This window comes from Homo sapiens, chromosome X, assembly GCF_000001405.40.
Source record: "Homo sapiens chromosome X, GRCh38.p14 Primary Assembly".
Classification (NCBI taxonomy): Eukaryota; Metazoa; Chordata; class Mammalia; order Primates; family Hominidae; genus Homo; species Homo sapiens.
This window is the reverse complement of record NC_000023.11, coordinates 10,500,626-10,520,304: the sequence shown is the minus strand read 5'-3', so window position 1 is coordinate 10,520,304 and position 19,679 is coordinate 10,500,626. Positions and strand designations below refer to the sequence as shown.

Sequence of the window (19,679 nt, the reverse complement as noted above, 5' to 3'; positions counted from 1 at the left end):
GTGAGACAGTTTAATGGGCAACATTTGTTTGTTCCTACTGGCACACAAAATATAGATGAGACAGTTGCTGGTATCTTAGATTAGATGGAGTATGGTTTGAGAAGGGGGGATTAAAAGAGAAAAAAATGCGAATACAATTTTTCTGAAGCTTTGTGGAAGAGTCAGGACTTGAGCCAGTTCTTATAGATTTCACAACTATTATTTTTCAGTACCCTAAGTATTGAGGTGTCAGCTTATTTATGCAACACAATGATGTTTGTCAGTGATACATTCCTCAGCATAGCAGAAATTAGCAAAGATTGCTTTCAGAAAGATCCTATCAGTGTAAAAGCATGTCTACTATGCAAATACTGGTGCTTTGGTGGAAGGCTTAAAATACTTTGTGTTTGTAAAGTCTGTGCTTTTACTTACAAGTGCTCCCCTTGTGATCAGAAATGTAAAACTGGTTACTAAGAGAAACACATGAGTTAGCAACTTTTTCCAACTCCAAATTTGTTGTGTTTTCCAAGGATAATATCCAGGGAGACAGAAATTAGGGATGTTCTCATCTCCTACCTAAGCCATCTACTCCAGCTGTTCATCATTTGAGGTGCTGATGGAGGTTATGATAGGTGGAAGAGGGAAAGGCATACAAAAGGAAAGAAAGGGAGGAATCAGAGTAAAACATAGGTGAGAGAGCAGATTAGGATTGTCCAGTGAGCTTATTGGTTCACTTAGTAGACCCTCTTGCTTTAAAAGCTACATGATTGTCAGGGTAGAATCAGTGTTTCATCATGTTGAGATGAAGTTGAGAGTGTGAAGGCAGCAGTGTGTTGCAGAATCCAGACCTTTTGAACCCTCTGCTTAGACTGGATTCTCTTTTGGCAAGCCTCTTGCCAGGGAACATGTTGAGCCTTGTTGATTAAACAACATTGGAAATAATAGTGAACAAGCATAATGTTTTCATTATTATAGGGTAAAGTTAATATGTATTATATGAATAAATGGATGAACAAAATGGAATAATCTGTGTGCCATATTTTATTTTTATGATGTGATGGCATTTGATGTTTAGGATAGTAAGAAAGAATTATTTCTCTTCAGTTAAAAAAAAAATTACCTGAGCTTTATGGTAAATCTTATAAATGCTTTATGGATTGGGTGATTATGTCATTCAATTTCAGCTAGTTACTCCTTAAAGCATTAATGTCTGGTTTCCATTATGACCTGTTGTGATTTCAGAACAAATGCATTGCTTCTAATGCAATATTATTATGGCTTGAATTTACAAGACGCTATTCATCCTAACATGATGTAAAATTACATTCTAAGATGTTCAGTAATTTCAAATGATAGATAAATTGAAGAAATTTACAGGGAGATTTTAGTTTTATTTTAATAGATCAGATATGATTTTAGTTGCAATACAGGCTTTTCAAATAAAGCTATTACTGAATTGATTGTAGTGGACTTGCATTTACAAGGAATAAAGAATATTCATTCTTTTCTCTGTTGTTTTTGTATAAATCCTTGGGAATGGAAGCACATGTTTATGGGTGAGTAAATTTGGTATTTGGGAAATTTATTCTAGATAAAAATTAAAGAAAATTATGAGTACAAAAATAATGATACTTACAGTACTTATTTTTACGTTTGTTTTTATTCCTAATTATTAGTATTCTGAAAGTATAATTTTCAAAAGTTGAACACCCAATTCTCCTATAATGAATGAATTAGTCCACATCAAAGATTTTTTTAACTTCTTAATGAAGGAACCAGCAAGATGATAAAGCTGCTTCCAAGGAGGATGCCAGAAACGGATACATATAAATGTGGGGAAGGGGGTAGTAGGGGGAAAAGAATGCCAGACTAGCATAGCTAATTTGGATACAAAACTGGTTAGTGACCTACAGGGCAATAAACCTGAAACATTTGGACAAAATAAGTTGCATATTACTGGGTTTCTCTAAGTTAACATCTAACTTCGCAGAGTCTAAGCCCTAACCACTAGTAAATAGAAAGTCAGACTCTGTTACATCCCAGTCTGGAGAGTCAGATGACCCTGACTTAGGCTGACTTCATGGAATATGCTCTCGTGGGACTTTGGAAGGGCTCACAGTCTTCTCTTTCTCTTTTTTCCATGTTTTGGATAATTTTGCTTAACATGACTTTCTGTTCTAGAGACTGTTGGTCTAGGAGCAGTGTTTGCTAAACAAATATTTCTGGGAGGGGATGTACATTTTTGCCTGTGGACAGTTACTTTAATTTGTTACAGTGTCTTGCTAGTTTGTTCATTTTGGTAGTGCGGTTGGAGTACCCACTGTGTGTGTGTTGCACTGTGTTAGGTGCCAAAGGACCCTGCCCACAGGAAGTTTACTATCTTCACTAAGACAGAAGAGCACTTATAACACAAAATAAAGTAGAAAGCCATAATTACCATGAAGAAGGTGTGGATTATCTACTTCAAACTTTCAGAGAAACAAGAAATTATTTCTAGCTGGGGACTGGGGAAGCAGCGCAAGATCTGAGCCTGCCTTCAAGGGTAGGTAACATTTGAGTTTATGGAAGCAGCACTGCTTGCCAGGCAAATAAAGGCATGGGGATAGAAAGACGAGGAATGTATGTACACAAAGCAAGTAGTTCATTCTGGAGAAATGGAAAGCATGGAAGAAGGAAGGATCTGTAGGAACTAGTTTGGGAGAGTTGAGAGCTGGAAAGGCTTTCGTGTTGCATCTGAATTTGAACTTTGGTTTTGAAGGTTTAGTGAGGGTTCAAGGAACACATAGACCTGTGTGAGTTTCACAGTGACAACTGGCATTTCCAACTCTTTTCAGGAAATGACATTTTTGGTTATTGAGAAAATAATATGGATATTGTCATGCAAAACAATCTCATGTCCAAGGGAAACCTTCACAGCACTAGGAAACTCCAAAAAGGCCATGGAGTTTGTTAGGCACCAGCATGCTATTCTTTTAAATCAGTGCAGTGGAAAAGAATTTCCTGGTCCACATCCTTGGTTCCTAGATGGTACTTCTTCCTTTTCCTCTTCCTGAAGGTGTCCTTGTATTTGGGTATGAGCATTCCCCGGGAAAATAATTCCCATGCCAGCTGGAGCTAAAAAAAACTCACAGCACAGAGGCACCTCCTAATTGTTGTAAATTAAATCAATGAATTCCTTCCCACGACCCATGAGGAAATGCCACATCCTTATAAGTCCACATCTCTTCCCAGGGATTTACCTCTGCTTTTCTTCAGAATGGAAAACAGTTTGAAGGTTCCCCTTCAGCCACCCAACTCTCCCCACCCCTGCCACATTGTTTTCATAACTTGTTTTTTAAATGAGGGTAAGCAAATGAATGGCTTTTTGATTGTAAGTGCCAAACATTTTTAAAACGGTGGATAACAGAGAATGGCATGCTGTGGCTCATGCCTGTAATCCCAGCATACTTTGGGCGGCCAAGGCAGGAGGATTACTTGAGCCCAAGGATTCAATAACAGCCTGGGCAATACAGTGAGACCTCGTCTCTACAAAAAATAAAAAAACTAGACAGGCGTGGTGGTGTGCGCCTGTAATCCCAGTAACAAAGGAGGCCAAGACTGGAGGATTGCTTGAGCCTGGGAGGTCGAGGCTACAGTGACCCATGGAGTGCAACTGCTCTCCAGCCTGGGTGACAGAGTGAGACCCTGTCTCTTAAAACACACGCGTGCGCGCGCGCACACACACACACACACACACACACACACACACACACACACACACACACAAGAGCAGAGTATGAAGGCCAAGACAGTTTGGGACTCAGGAGGCAGAGACATTGAAAGAGCAACTTCAGGCCAGGTGCGGTGGCTCACGCCTGTAATCCCAGCACTTTGGGAGGCCCAGGTGGGTGGATCACGAGGTCAGGAGATCGAGACCATCCTGGCTAACACGGTGAAACCCTGTCTCTACTAAAAATACAAAAAATTAGCCGGGCATGGTGGCGGGCGCCTGTAGTCCCAGCTACTCGGGAGGCTGAGGCAGGAGAATGGCGTGAACCCGGGAGGCAGAGCTTGCAGTGAGCTGAGATCACACTGCTGCACTCCAGCCTGGGGGACAGAGCGAGACTCCGTCTCAAAAAAAAAAAAAAAAAAAAAAAAGAGCAACTTCAGGTAGACTCCTAAGAAATGTTTGTCTAGGATTGTAAAAACTAATGGGTTTTCAACCACTCTATTTTGTTTTCTTCAGGAGAGAAATAAGGTAGAATGGATGAGTTTGTAGTTACACTAGACAAGTTTGGAGTTAATTATATATGTAGTGAAAGACAAGCTTATGAGAAATGATCAAAATTTGGGTCACCTGTAGAACTTAACTTTTCTAGGTCAGATAAGGACTGTATCTCTTCATCACATTTCTCTTTCCATTTTCTTTGAAAAATCAGAAGACACAGTTTATTAGCTAAGCAAACACTTGGAATCACTGATATGTACCAAATTTTCTGCACATTCCAATAATCAAGTTCTTTTACAGCAAATACAACACCTTGACACTTAATAGATGTTCGTTTTGGAAATGATAGGTGCCAGTGACTCTAAAGATGATGGCCAAGAACAACTGGGAAAGGGTGGCCAATTGCCATAATGGTTTCAAGAGGATAAAGGCTCAGCAGTCCTTACCATTCTTGCTCAAGGTCATCCTAGAAGGGCATTTTCTAATCCAACATCACTTCAAAGTTCCAGCATTGGCCCCTTTGGTTTATCTTGCCTTGTTTGTAATCACTTCTTAAAATTCTTTTTGCCATTATTTTTCTCACTAAGTTTTTAATCTATCTTTGTTGTTGTTTTATTTTAATGGAAAGTTTGCTCTCATACGGCTTTCTCTGAGTTTCTCCAGTGCTAGTTGTCATGTAAAGTGACAAGGTTCTTGTGGAGGAATTAAGGCTGTTTAATTAGATTTCTGCTCAGATGATGAGTTTTGTAAATTGAAAAGGATGAGAGTGAGGTGTTACTTGGGTGATATGTACCTTGTAAGAAATTGTAGAAAATCACTTGGCAAAACAGATGGGAGTCTGTAGAAGACTTTTCCAGTAATTCACCAAGCCCTAAAAGCATTCATTTGTAAACTTTGAAATAATGAAAAATCACTGGGTTAAAAAGAAAGATGAACCATTTGTTTAATTTTGTTGTGCAGTTTTGTAATGCCAAAGCATTCTCTCTCCGTAGAAAACTTGGCAATGGCTTCATCCGGAGTCATTGGATGAAGACCAGCATGCAAACACCAAACGAGCTATTTGTGTCTTGTGAACGTGTGTCTGATCTTGGATGAAGTATATCCTGCTGGGGGCCGACATGAATGTCCAAAGTTATAATCCATTTTCACTTGCAGATGAGGGTCAGATTCCCACCCGATCTGACCCCCTGTGAGAATGCTTTCAAGGTATAATTAGAGTCAGATTCTGGGCCTCATTAAACCACATCATACAACCCACAGTCAGCTCTGGCTCTCCATGTAATAGGCTCTAGAATTATGATAATGTGATAGTGCAAATATGGTGGCTTTCAGAAACTGGATTATGACGAGCCACTATAATAATGGTTGATTTCCCAAGTTCACGTCTTAGGATTCCCATGACAAAGGAGAAAAGAACTGTTGGTCTGCACAGAAATTTATCATCTCTGGAGAAGATTTGTTTTTACTATTGCATTTGAATAATGTCTATTCATATGCAATAGTAAGACAGTTGAAACAGTTTACTCTACCAAGTTTACTAAAATTGACAACTCATGAAGCAAATGTAGTTTTTCTTGGTAGAGGTTAAATTTAATTATTAAAGTATCTAACACATACTTGAATGTCTCCCTTTGGATTCAGTGCCCTTGACTTAGAAAAATTTGATTCATAACAGGCATTGGATCCTGTTTCTTTCTTGGGCATATTCATAAGGAGTAATGAGAAGATATCAGCAAAAATCTTTGAGTATTTTGGAATGAGATTAATCTTATGAATAAATGAATATAAGGCTTAGTAAGCTGGTATTACTTTTAGAATGACATTCCCAAGTTTCAGTTTTGAAACTTTATATAAAACATTATCCAAACCTTTCATCGTCTGCAAATCTTTCTAGTTTGGGTGGTATGACCTATTGCATCATATACAGAATCCTACCTAGTGGCTCAGATTGGAGTATGAACACTTGTACGTGCCTCTGAAGACAAACCCTCTAATGTTTGAATTTGGTAGTGCAGATTTCCAAGGTTAATACTTAAATGTGAAGCAATAGGCCTTAATTGGAGGCCCAAAGGCTGAGCATTAGAAAGTTAGAGAGAAAGTGTGCTTTTTTCTGATATATCTTATTGTGCTCCCTCCCTCCACACAATACAAGAATTCCTTATCCTGTCTCCATTACAGTATTCCACACACAACCTTCTTTACCTGGAAATATTTACTTGCGTGATTGACTAGAGCAGCAGAGATGTTTCTGGCATGATATAAAGAATAATAGGAACAGGTAGTGATACATTTTTTAAAATAGCCATTGTTGGCCAGGCACAGTGGCTCACGCCTGTAATCCCAGCACTTTGGGAGGCCAAAGTGGGTGGATCACCTGAGGTCAGGAGTTCGAGACCAGCCCGGCCAACATGGTAAAACCCCATCTCTATTTAAAATACAAAAATTAGCTGGGTATGGTGGCAGGCGCCTGTAATCCCAGCTGCTCGAGAGGCTGAGGCAGGAGAATTGCTTGAACCTGGGAGGCAGAGGTTGCAGTGAGCTGAGATCACGCCATTGCACTCCAGACTGGGCAATAGAGCCAGACTCTGTCTCAAATAAAGTAAAATAAAATAAAATGGCCATTGTTATTTCTAACTCAACTTTTATATGAGATGGTCTTAGCTGGATGGTTTCAGGTGAAAGAGTCAGAGGGGAATGGAATGATTGCAGGTGAGAAGGTAACTCTCAAGTAAAAGCTTTGGTTCACTTATTGCTCCCATTCATGACATTCAGAAACAAGAATAATCCTAACAATCAATCCACCATTTTGTTACTGAACCAACCTTTTACTTCTGGGTCTAATATCTAGTTTAAATTATTTTTCTCAATAAATGAACATAAAATTGTCTTCCAATGACAATCAAGTTGAAATTATCTCTGTGTATAAAATAATTACAGATTATGAAAGAAGCCAGACATATCATTTTTTACCTGATTCGGTTGACTTCTATTTTTAATTTGCTAAATTAAATGTTGTAGGAAAAAATGAAGAGCTTTGTTCTAATTTTGAAATTCCACAGCAAAATAATTGAGTCATGCATATAAAATGTCCGTTAACAAGAAGACAATTGTAGTACTGGTTATTTTTGTTTGAAATAGAAATATGAAATTTTAAATTCAGCTATTTAAAATGCCCGAGGCTACCATGGAATGTACAAGGCTCTCAGTGAGGAGCAACACAAAGATTTTTACAACCAAGTGAGGTAACTTCTTGGCCTAGGAATTTATGATAGAGCTTTTACTATGCTTTTAAAAGTATTTTCCCTAGATATAACATCAAGTTCATATATGTAAAGTCGTGAAAACTATATAGTGGTCTAATTCTCTGACAAGGCAAGCTTGGTATTGAGATGTCATAAGTTCATTCAAGGAAGCCTTCTGTCAATTTCCATAGGATTGGGAAGGTGGTGCCTTGTCCATCTTTGCAGGTGTTGGAAGGGGAGCATTATTGCATAGATCTGTTCCAGTTTCACAGCAACACATAGACTGTAGTGTAAAGAAAGAAAAAGTGATAGGACTTATGTAGATATGCACTACAAGCAGTTATGACCATGACCAGCTCTTACTGTCACTTCCTGATTTAATTATCCCAACAGTCTTTTGACATAAACATCATTCAAATAACCACAGATACGTGGCCTGAAGCCAGATATAACAAGAATCAGCCAGTAAAGAAATAGGTTGAATTTAACCAAGTAATAAGTAACTGGAGTTGTTACTGAACCCAAACCAGGTGATTAGAAAGTTAGATTCCCAGGGGAATTCTCATTACAAGAACCATCTTATCAGATAGGTAATTGGAAACCCTGTTAAACCCACCATAACAAAGGCTCAGCAAGTGTACATCTGCAGTGCCAGTACAATCAGTGAGTCTTCAGTTCTTATGAACGTTCTGAAATCTTTTATTATTAACCATTGACCCTCTAACCTCAACTTCTTTGAGATGATAAATTTGTTTCCTTTAGTAAATAAGTAAATTCCTTTTTTTCCTCCTTCCCAGGAAGTTTGAGATTCATGTATAAAGATGAAGAACTAAATAATACTGGCTGAGCCACCCTAATTTGAAAATCCAAAATCCGAAATGCTCTAAAATCCAAAACTTTTTCAGCACTGACATGACGCGAGAAGAGGAAAATTCCACACACAAGTACTTAACACAAACTTTGTTTCATGCACAAAATTATTGAAAATATTGCATAAAATTACCTTCAAGCTTATGTGTATAAGGTGTATGTGGAATGTAAGTGAATTTAGTGGTCAGACTTGGGTCCTATCCCCAAGATATCTCATTATGTATGTGCAAATATTCCAAAATCCAAAACACTTCTGGTTCTAAGCATTTAGGATAAGGGATACTCAACCTGTAGCATAAAATCAATATTTTGGGTTATGACTGGGTGCAGTGACTCACACCTGTAATCTCAGCACTTTGGGAGGCCAAGGTGGGAGGATTGTTTGAGGCCAAGAGTTTAGAACCAACCTGGGCAACATAGCAAGACCCTGTCTCTACTAAATAATTAATTAATTAACCAACTGTGAGTGGAGGTTCTTGCCTGTAGTCCTAGCTACTCAGGAGTCTGAAGCAGGAGGATCACTAGAACCCAGAAGAAGTTGGAGATTACAGTGATCTATGATTGTACCACTGGACTCCAGCCTGAGTGACAGAGACAGAGACCCTGAACTTAAAAATATATATATATTACAACTTGGGACTGAAATATTTGTTTGTATGTTAATAGTTCATAGCATTTAAGATAATATGACATATTACAGAAATTTGACAGATTTGCTTTGAAATGCTAATTTGAAACACGTAATTTTTTTTTTTTTTTTTGAGATGGAGTCTTGCTCTGTCACCCAGGCTGGAGTGCACTGGTGTCATCTCGGCTCACTGCAACCTCTACCTCCTGGGGTTCAAGTGATTCTCCTGTCTCAGCCTCCTGAGTGGCTGGGATCACAGGCACCCACCACCATGCCCAGCTAATTTTTGTATCTTTAGTAGAGATGGGGTTTCACCATGTTGGCCAGCCTGGTCACGAACTCCTGACCTCAAGTGATCTGCCCGCCTTGGCCTCCCAAAGTGCTGGGATTACAGGCATGAGCGACCACGCCCAGCCTAACATGTAATTTCTTTTAGAACTGTTATTTTAAGTTGGATCTGTAAGATAGTTTAGGTTTCAAAGCAATATTGCAATGTTCAAAAAACCTTAGGTTTCAGCATTTTCTTTTTTTTTTTTTTTTTTTTTTTTGAGACAGAGTCTTGCTCTGTTGCCAGGCTGGAGTGCGGTGGCGTGATCTCGGCTCACTGCAACCTCTGCCTCCTGGGTTCAAGCAATTCTCCTGTCTCAGCCTCCCAAGTAGCTGGGATTACAAGTGTGCACCACCATGCCCAGCTAGTTTTTGTATTTTTAGTAGAGACCGGGATTTCGCCAAGTTGGCCAGGATGGTCTCGATCTCCTGACCTCGTGATCTGCCCACCTTGGCCTCCCAAAGTGCTGGGATTACAGGCGTGAGCCACCACGCCCGGCCTGGGTTTCAGCATATTTTTTAAGTTTAGTTTATTAGATTTATAAGAGCTACTTAAGGACTTGGGAAGGTATAACGTGTTAGGATTTTAATTTTATCCTGTTAGCATTTGAAGTGCTTATAAAGTAAATCAAATGTGTTAAATTGATAAATGCAGTTTAAAGTGTTACAGGAGTAATCTGAACAGTGATTCCTCATAGGGGTGAGGATTGACCTGAAGAGCGGCTCGAGGGTACTTTCTAGGGTGATAGAAATGTTTTATGTCTTGATTGAGCTGTCGGTTATCAAAATCCATTAAACTGTCCCTTAAGATCTATGCATTTCCTTGCATGTAAATTTTACCGCAATTTAAAAATATGTGTGTAGGAACTTAATCAGCTAATGTATAGACAGAATTGATTGTTTAATGGAGTTGAGTCTATTCAACTTGAGTTAATCAAACATTGATTCAAGGACTCCCGAGAGTGATTATTCTTGGTTTCATAAAATTTATTAGATGTATGAATAGAATAATGAGATCATAATTTGAACTTAAAAGCTTAAGGGAAACTACATAGTGAATTGTTGACATAGATGCAGTTCTTGAACAAAAATCTTGATGGTCTGTAAGTCTGTGTCTATTCCTTCTCCTAGTTGGTTGGACTCCTGGGTAAATAGGACAGTCTTCCTAGTATGCTGCGTTTAGCATGCAGCACTTGACTATTGATGAGTGAATGGAACACCTCTAGAGGCCAACTACATCATCCTTCTGTCCTCCTTGTAGCACTAGCTCATTTGCATAGATCAGCATGTCCGATAAGCTCACACCTTGAAGGGCAGAAAGGACCCTTCTTGAGAAGACTGTACACAGCACTGTGTTTTTATGACAGCAAACCTCAGTAGCCACAAATCCCTGGAGGATCAGTAATGCTAGTGCACACAAGGAGCTCCCTCCCAGCCTGAGGGCTCTGCCACCCAGGTAGGGCTAAGAGGATGGAGTTGACAAAGGGAAGTCAAAAATGAGAGAGCTGTCCATCAGGAGTGTTGCTGAGCCCTGAATAGAGATCGATCGAGGTGGGTCTTTCCTTCCCCCTTATTATAAACCTGTACCTTTCCTTTTATTCTCTAGGATACCTTCTCTATCTTTTCTGGTTTGCAAAAGAAAAAAATAGTTAGATAGTCACTTTGAATCAGGCTTGGGAAAACACTTATAAATAATAATTCCACACATGTAAGATGGCTAATCAACCTAGGTCTGAAAATGACTTAACAGGAAAACATTTTCAATATCAGTCTCTCATGATTCCCAAACACACACACACACTCACAAACTCACCACAACTTCAAAATTAGCAACCAAAAGACATCTAAATGCTGTGATCTTTCCTTTTCTCTTCCAGATCAGATTAGCTTTGCTCTTCACTGTCCTTTTGTCAAAGCCCCTATTGTACAGCTCTCCAGTGTCCTTCCTGCCTGCCCTTCTACTGCCATTGTAACTTTTACCAGCCCCACTACCATTTCAGAAGAAAACTCCAGGAAAGCAAGTAAGCATGGATAGCTTTAAAGATCAATGCTGAAGGCCCACTAAGACCAGGATACAAAGGGAGTCAATTAGAAAAAGGTGGGGGTCAAGGAAGAACTCCCCACTCCCAAGTTAAACTCCTCAATTTGCTGTTTTGTTTTAGCCAGACTCTATGGAGCTCAGTCATGGCTAGCTCTCTGCAAATGGCCCCCAAAAGGCTTTTCACAAGGGGCAGTAAGATATAACTGGCTTCGGTATTTCTGTCTCCCCATTCCCAGATAACCAATTCAAGATGCATGCCCACTGTACCCTGCATGTTGTTGAAACAGAATTTTAATTTCCTCTGTCTTGCAAAAATGTTCTTTTGCCTCTCTTCCCTGGTGCCTTTTCTCATCTTCCTCACCCCTGGGTTTCCTAACTCTGTCTTGCCTACTCTGATCTCCAAAGACCAGTCTCTCCTTCATATTTGGCATGAAACCTTCCTCAGCTACTCACACAGTAATTGCCTCATTTCTCAAACTCTCCAGAGTCACATCATCCAATCAAAGTACTGTGTAATGTGAGCCACATATGTAATTGAAAAATTTTCAAGTAATCACATTTTTTAAGTAAAAATAATCAGGTAAAATTAATTGTACTAATACATTTTATTTGACCCCGATATATTTAAAATGTTATCATGTCAACATGTAATCAATGTAAAAATGATTAATGTATGCATTTCATATTCACAGCACATCTCAATTCAGACTAACCATATTTCAAGTGCTCAAAACCACAAGTGGCTAGTGGTGGCCATATTGGACCACACAGCTCTAGAACTTCTGTAGCCCATGGTTTAGCAGTTAATTATGTGTGCACTTGGCATGTTCGCTGCTTGTTCTCTAGTGAAGTCATTCTTTCTAGCAGGCCAAGTTCTGTTTCTACCACAGGTCCTAGCATGGTGCTTTGCACATTGTGGGCACTCAACAAATCCCTAAGATTTGCTTCATAGATGATCCCTGTACATTGATAGCATCTTCCTCATTCATGGAATAACAAGAATGACCTCATCTCCTCTCACTTTCATTCCTTAGCTACTAACACTGTTGCAAAGATCTCTGGAAACCGGAAACTTTGGTCACCTATACTTTAAATGGAGAGAGAAGTAAAACTTGCTGCTGAGAAGCAAGGACTGCATAGAAGGTTTAGTTTGCTGGTAGAATCAAAATAAGCACTGAATGAAGATGTGTGTGGTTCCCAGTTTTATAAATAGGTTTTGCAAGAGGAGAGTGTTTGCTTCTTTGTTTTTGGTGCGAAACATTTCTTCTTTTAGCATGTTATCTGAAAGTATTGCTGCCAAAGGGATGATTTGCCAGAGAAAGATGGTTTCTGTCCAGTTCCTTCATATGTCAGGCATAACCTCCAATTAATCTGAATGAAAGAGTGGGTGCCCATGCAGACAATGCCAACAAATGCCCCTGTAGAGAGGACACATACAGATGCCAACCTGAAATCAGACACTGGCTACTGAAACAAAGGATTGCTTTAATTTTTGCAGAATAAACTATTTTTTTCTTCTGCTTTTCACGAAGTGGCCCTAAAGAATTCCTCTTGTTTGTGGTCTCGAAAAAATTAGAACTATGCCAATGAGGCCTGCCTTTAAGGGTTCTATTAAACAATAAGAAGGCTTTGTTCTTGGCAATAAAATTAAAGCAAGCAGTGTTTCCATTACCTGGCAGGCTGCCCTCTCCCTTCCCACAACCCTGACCCCGATCCTGACAAACCTCAACAGACCATTCTGTTTCCCAGGTAGGAAGGTTAGATGGTAACATCTGTCAGGTTTGTTTATAGAAATATAGTTGACCTTAATGATAATGTATAAAGAGGGAGAGATGGGGGCGGAGGGGGGAGGAAAAAAAGGGGGTAGGGAGAGAGAGGGACACTTCTCCAAATAATCCTTAACTCAAGCTTTAAAAAAGTCAAGTTTACTGCAGAGGCTTCAAGTTCTCAAACCATTGTTCCAGAAAGACAATAATAATTTCACAATGAGTTGAAATGATGGAAGTTAGGAGTCACTAGATGAGGAAATATACATTTTGGTCTGACACGCTAGATGTCACGTGTTTTCTTTTTCAGGGAACTTTGCCTACCATTGCTCAAACTTAGACCCACTTACAGTCAGTTGCAAATGAGTGCTTGTAGGTAGATTGTGACCCTGAAGTCAGGAATGACCAAGGCCAGTACAGAAAGCACTGTCCGATGCAAATTCTGTTTAGCCCCACAGTTAGTCACAAGTCATTGGAACTGAAAAATTGGATGACTGTGATGCCAGCTCTCTCTGTCCTCCATGAGAGCTCAAAATGGTTATATTGTAGTCTCCTCTAGTGTAAGAGCTCCTGCCTACAGCTGTCAAGGCCATACCCATATTGCACTCACAGGTCCTATCTCCCTGGCCTGGGAACTTTTTCTGCCCCTCCCAGGACCAACTAATTCCAAAGGGAAGTTAATGCCTACCTTCCCCCAACAGCTTTCAACCAGCTCCTGATGGGAGATGTTACATAAATACTCTGCTTCTTCCCTATTAGCTGGAATGTTCTGTACTGTTTCCCAGAGTTGCCCAATGGGGTTAATCTCCAGTTGCCCAAGGTGGTCTTGGTAAGTCACACTTTACTGGCTTCGTAGTTGTCCCTGTTTCACTTCCTACCCAGTACTGGTGTTTTCTGGCAACAATTTGACCATCCATTCTTGTCTCATATCCTTCTTGGGGAGGATACAACTGCCAACCATGTCTAAAATGAAATGATAGCACAAGTCTCTTTTTCTAGTCATGGCTATAGCTCACATGTTCAATTTCTCTAAACTCAAGTCTCTTTCATTGTGTTTGAATAAACGTACATGTGAATCACTGGACATCAAAGATATTTAAAAATCAATCTACTCACTTCTCCTGATATTCTAGAATGACAACAACAGGGCAAGATATTTCATAGATATCACTTGTGGGTGCGTCATGAAGGCAGAACAAAGCTTAACATTTTCCAGTTGTACCTCCCAGTTAAGTTCTATCAGTGACGTAATCACGTGTATTTCACTCACTGTACGGAATACCAAAGAGCAGAAACCCAATGTTCATTTTCCAGAACTTTGCAGAAGCAGATGGCTTCTATACCTGAGTAACTGAAACCCAAAAAGGGGTCCAACTCAGTATTTTTCCAGTACATCACTTTTCAGGAATCATGGCACAACAACTAAAAGGAATGTCACTTAATGAGAAATAACATGTAAGATTGAAAGTGATTAAGGTAAAGTCATAGAGTAGAGGTTTCCTCTTTCCATTAGAAATAACTTCCCTTCCCTTAAACACGTCACCTCCATCTTTCCTGGCACTCCATTAATGGTCATCTGCTAAAAGTTATTGTTTACCCTCTGACCACAACATCAAATGCCAAACACATTTGTTGAAAATTATTTAATAGAAATCGCTACTTTTCAGAAACTTTATGAAAAAGACGTGATAGAGACAAACACCCATGGCAGGTTAAGTAGATTTCTTTTCATTCAGTGTGCCCAGCCCAAACGGAAGGGTGTGAAGCATTTGTTTTATAAAGTGTGTAATTAATAAGAGAAAGGAAGGGAGGAGTTTATTGTTTTTCAATGAATTATGAGCAACCCCTTCCATTCTGCTTCTTCATTTTGGAACTGCTTCTAACAAAGTTACCATTAAACACAAAAAGAAAAGGCTGTGATATTGATGCCAAGAATATAAGATTGAAGTCAGTTGAGTGTAGCCTAGGAAAAACATTACAGAAGGAGTAACATTTATTATAATTGTGACAGAAGTCAGCAGGACATCATGGGGAAAGTGAAAACCATACCGCAAGTATGTTGTCATTTTCAAATTGAAATTCCATTAATTCAGTACTTGTAGCTATTCATGCCTTAAAAGAAGAAAACTAATATTTATTGAGCATCTACTATGTACCAGATTGTTTACAGATATTTTCATCAAAAGTATGCAAATGAGGAAACATTCTCACAGAAATTCAAATATTTTTCATACCTGCAGTCCTCTGAATATAAAGTCCATGATTTTTCCTTTATGCCAGAGGTCAGCAAACTGTGACGCTCATGCTAAATCTGACTGTTTTTGTAAGTAAAGTTTTATTTGAACACAGCCACGTCCATTTGCATCCGTATTGTCTATGGCTGCTTTCACACTACAATAGCAGAGTTGAGAAGCTGCAGCAGAGACCGTCTGGCCCACAATGCTAAAATAATTACTATCTAGGCCTTTACAAAAAAAAAAAGTCCCCCAACTCCTGCTCTGTACCACGGAAGAATGTTCTCTACCCTTCTTCTTCCCCCATCCAAAATTGCATCAGGAGGCAGCCTTCAAGGAACCCAGTTAGGATTTAAAAGTAGCTTCAAAAATTCTGGAGTTAAGCCTCATGTTATAGCTTCCAAAGCTATTATTTTGATGATGTAGATGCATCAAAGTTTTGATTCATGCTAGAAAGTCCTCAGGTAACCAGCACAGGCTGACTGGTCCTAGAACCTCTAGTTTTAATTATCTATGGACATTCCAGATAAAAAGAGTTTGTTAGCAATAGTGATCGTTCACATTTATGTAGTAATTATTACATGCCAAGCATTTGTCAAGGGCTTTTCATGTTTTCACTCATTTAGTTCTCACCACAGTCTAACCCAGGGGTTCTCAATCTTGACACTAGTGGGATTTGGGGATGGACCTTTCACTGTTGTGGGGGCTGTCTAATGTGTTGTAGGATGTTTAGCAGCATCGCACCTGGTCTGCCAGGTAACAAATGTTATTTTCCTCATTATGCAGGTAGGGAACTTGAGATGTAGATAGTTGAAGTAAATGCCCAATAACATACAACTAGTAAGCAATAAAAACCTGGTGTTTCAATCCCGGGAAGACTTCCTCAAGTCCCTGAACCCCAAACCACTGCCTCCATTAGCCCTTGCTCCCTCTAAATTATTTTACCTGTTTGAAGATTTTGCTTTACTGAAAAACTAACAGCGACATCAACAACATCGTGAATGGCCATGTTCTGTATGCTACTATTGGAAGTAAAACTCCTTTATGTGAAGTTTCAAAGTTTTAGGCATTAGCAATGGCATTTTTTGCTAGGCAGTTTTATTGCCTTATTACAGTTGTATTTCATTCATAAGAAAGAATTTAATTGCTCTACTCACCACAGTGTGTTGCCATTTTTGATAGTGTCTTGCTTCCTTGTCCAGCACTCAAGCTTCATAATCTTAGAAACCTCAAGAAAAGAGGATTTATCATGAGGTTCCTCGGAGCTATTTTTTTAGTCCCATAGCAAATTCCCATCTGGATAATCAATATGTAGAATTGATCTCCTCTGGTCCAAATAATTTTCCACTACGTCACTATGCTAAAGCAGGATTACATGTAGCTTCTAGTTGTATCACTATATCACTGCTATTACTTCCCACCAAAAGCACTTTATGAAAGGATTCCATTTTTAATTTTTCTGAAAAGCCTTTCTTGGAGTTTAAAAAGATTTGATCAAAAATGTTAAATATTAAATTAACACATTAAACATTAAAAATATTGTCCCGTACTCTGGTTTGTCCTCCAAAGACAGAGACCTCAGGAGCCAGGCCATTCTCTCTCTCTCTCATTCACTTGAGCCAGGTCCACAAGTATTTGACTTTGGTGTGAAAGAGTTTCAGAGTGAAGATTACATATAAACATATCAGATGAATTACGGTAATATTGTCTGCTGTTCCTCAATTCTCCTTGGCTCAGTTTTATATACAGACTGAAGTATTAGAATCCCTTTCATTGTTCCTCTGGCAGCTCTGTCTAACTTTTGCCCCAGAGTCTGGAATGTTCATCACAGCTGTCTTTGGCAATAAAACCCAAAGCACCCTCATATCATCATATTTCTTTTTGCACCTGGTCAGTGGTACACAGCGGGGTGTAGAGCCCACTTGCATACAGTTTTCTCCCTGTACCCTCATCCACAGGCCAAATATCAGCTTATATAAAGCTCTGTTTTGTTTCAGTTACTTCAGCCTTGGGCAAATTGGAATTAACTCCTCCAATGTTTTTCCTTTGGAGTGAGATGGGATGGTTATGCCACATTATGTAGTACCACTAACCCCTTCGAATTTGGATGCAGACTCAAAATTACATATTCTTAGTTATAGAGAAAAGTCCTTTTGAGTCTAAACAATAACAAGAACATCAACCTAGCATCATGTATAAAAATGTTTCAGCCTTTCTCAAGATCACCTTAATTTGTGACCTTGGAATGGAAGGTCACATTTATTCACCGTGGCATGAAACAGCTTTTGTTTTTGCCATGAGGCCGAATCTAGGCAAACTTGTAAAGTAGACATTTGTCTTTTAAACTCCCAACTCCTTGGTAATGGTTTCAAAGATGGCAAGGTTCAGAATCTTAAACTAAAGGGTTCACAGTTTGATGGTGCAATTTCAAGAGTGCAGTAATGGTGGGCCGGGGTGAGAGAGGCACAACTCAAGGGGTCTACCATTCTTGCGGAATTCAAAGTGAATAGTAGCCTCCGGATTTGTGCAGTGCAGCAACCCTCTTCTCAACACCCAGAAATAGAATATCCTGTCTCCAACACGTTGGGGTTATCCTGTCCCAAGCTTACTTCAGTGTTTCCGTCTGTGTACGAATAAGAAGTGATATATCAAGTCAGTGTGTCATTTTCACAAGAGGAATTATAAGGCTGTATTCTGAAAGTCTATGGATGGCTAACTTATTTCAATAAAGCACTGCAAAGTGAGAAAATGAGAGTTTCTAAAATGCATGCTAGATCAATTTCACCTGTGAAAACTGGCCAGATATTTTTTTTCCTTCACTCATGCTCCATCCTAAGAGTTCCAAATATTTCTAAAGATTTTAAGCCCACACATGTCTGAAATCTAATGATGTTTATACTCTGCACTGAACATCTCATTTTGCAGTTGAATACAAGTCAAATTAAAAGAGCCAGGTTTTAGAAATAATACTTAAAAACCACTTACAGACTGCTAAAGAACATTTCACAGACACCTAGTCCAATTTCTAGTATATGTATGTAACTAAATCCCTTTAATGTTTATACATATATGACAAGGAAAAAATATTTGTCCTCTTTACCCCACCCATTCCTCAAAACACTGTAACACTATTACACCATAAAACTTAGCAGGGAGACTTTGGGCGTTGCTAACCAAGTGCCCTCGAGAAAATAGCTAATCCATTTATGTCATCATTAACTAATCTGGGGAATGATTACGCGTAACTGCATTTCTAGAAAGGGAAGGTAAACCGTGCACCCAGTAGCAACTTACATGGGACTGCAACTGATTATTGGTGGCAGATATGAGCATTAATGAAGCCGAGTGACCCTCAATGCTGAATTCCATCTCAGGACTAGGCAGGCCAGATATGATTGTTGTGCTTCTACATTCACATCATTATTCAATTTTGTAATATCTCTTTCATCAGACTGTAAAGGATCAGAAAGTCATTGGCAGAGAGAAGCAGCAGTATTACCCTAGGAATAGGAGAAAGTGGGTCAGCAACTCCCTACAGGCAAGACTGATGGGGAGAAGATGCATTTCAAGACGCGAAAGAAAACTGACTCTAGATGTAGAGAAGGTATGTGCTGAGCAGATGGGTGAGGTCAAAAATGAGATGAGGTGAAAGTGACTGAGTTTCTCATACTGGTGGGCTAATGTGATATTTGCTCATGAGTGTACTTGAGGTGAGAAAAAACCATAGTATTGAGGAGCCTAGCCTGAGATCTCGGCTCACTGTAACCTCCGACTCCTGGGTTCAAGCGATTCTCCTGCCTCTGCCTCCCGATTAGCTGGGATTATAGGCATGCGCCACCACACCCAGCTAATTTCTGTATTTTTAGTAGAGACAGGGTTTCATCATGTTGGCCAGGATGGTTTCAATCTCCTGACCTCGTGACCCGCCTGCCTCGGCCTCCCAAAGTGCTGGGATTACAGGCGTGAGCCACCGCGCCCGGCCAGGAAGGCCTAATTTTAAGCTGTATTTCATCCTGAGAAGTCAAGTGCCCCATTTCCAGTGTGGTCCAAAGGCAGGAGACAGTAATTACCCACCACTGGACATCATTCCTAATTATCTTCATCTCACTCTTGCCGTTAGTTTAGGGGCCAAGGAGGAGACTGATGGCACAAAAGTGGAAAGAAGAGTTTGAACTTGTTTTCTGCATCCTTAGATTGGCCCTCCTCAGAGCACTTCCATCAGCCACAATGATTTCTGAATCAAAAGATGTGAATCAGAAATGAAAGCAAAAATCATAACCAGGAGCTGCTAGCTTCCAAACCAAACCTGGGAACTAGAAACACCAGAACATAACTGCAAGTAACCAATAAACCCTGCCATATTTGAACTAATAGAAATTAATGAG

General features: G+C 39.5%; 1 protein-coding gene across 9 annotated transcripts in view, besides 1 other annotated feature; it reads left to right on the top strand.

The window, feature by feature from the left end:
* The window catches only part of MID1 (midline 1), a 388,374-nt gene that overhangs the window by 313,379 nt on the left and 55,316 nt on the right, over nt 1-19,679 (top strand). Inside the window, exon 3 of one of the 9 annotated variants that reach the window (NM_001193278.1) lies at nt 18,746-18,898. The exons of the other annotated variants lie outside the window; for them this stretch is intronic. Coding sequence (NP_001180207.1) covers nt 18,746-18,898 — 153 coding nt within the window. The remainder of the gene's footprint in view (nt 1-18,745; nt 18,899-19,679) is intronic. 9 annotated transcript variants of the gene reach the window in all.
* Nucleotides 10,698-11,567: an enhancer, noted in NCBI's record as "OCT4-NANOG hESC enhancer chrX:10476778-10477647 (GRCh37/hg19 assembly coordinates)". NCBI's record gives its function as "activates a minimal SCP1, AML or CMV promoter by ChIP-STARR-seq in naive H9 embryonic stem cells {active_cell/tissue: H9 hESC(naive)}" and the evidence as "EXISTENCE:reporter gene assay evidence [ECO:0000049][PMID:30033119]".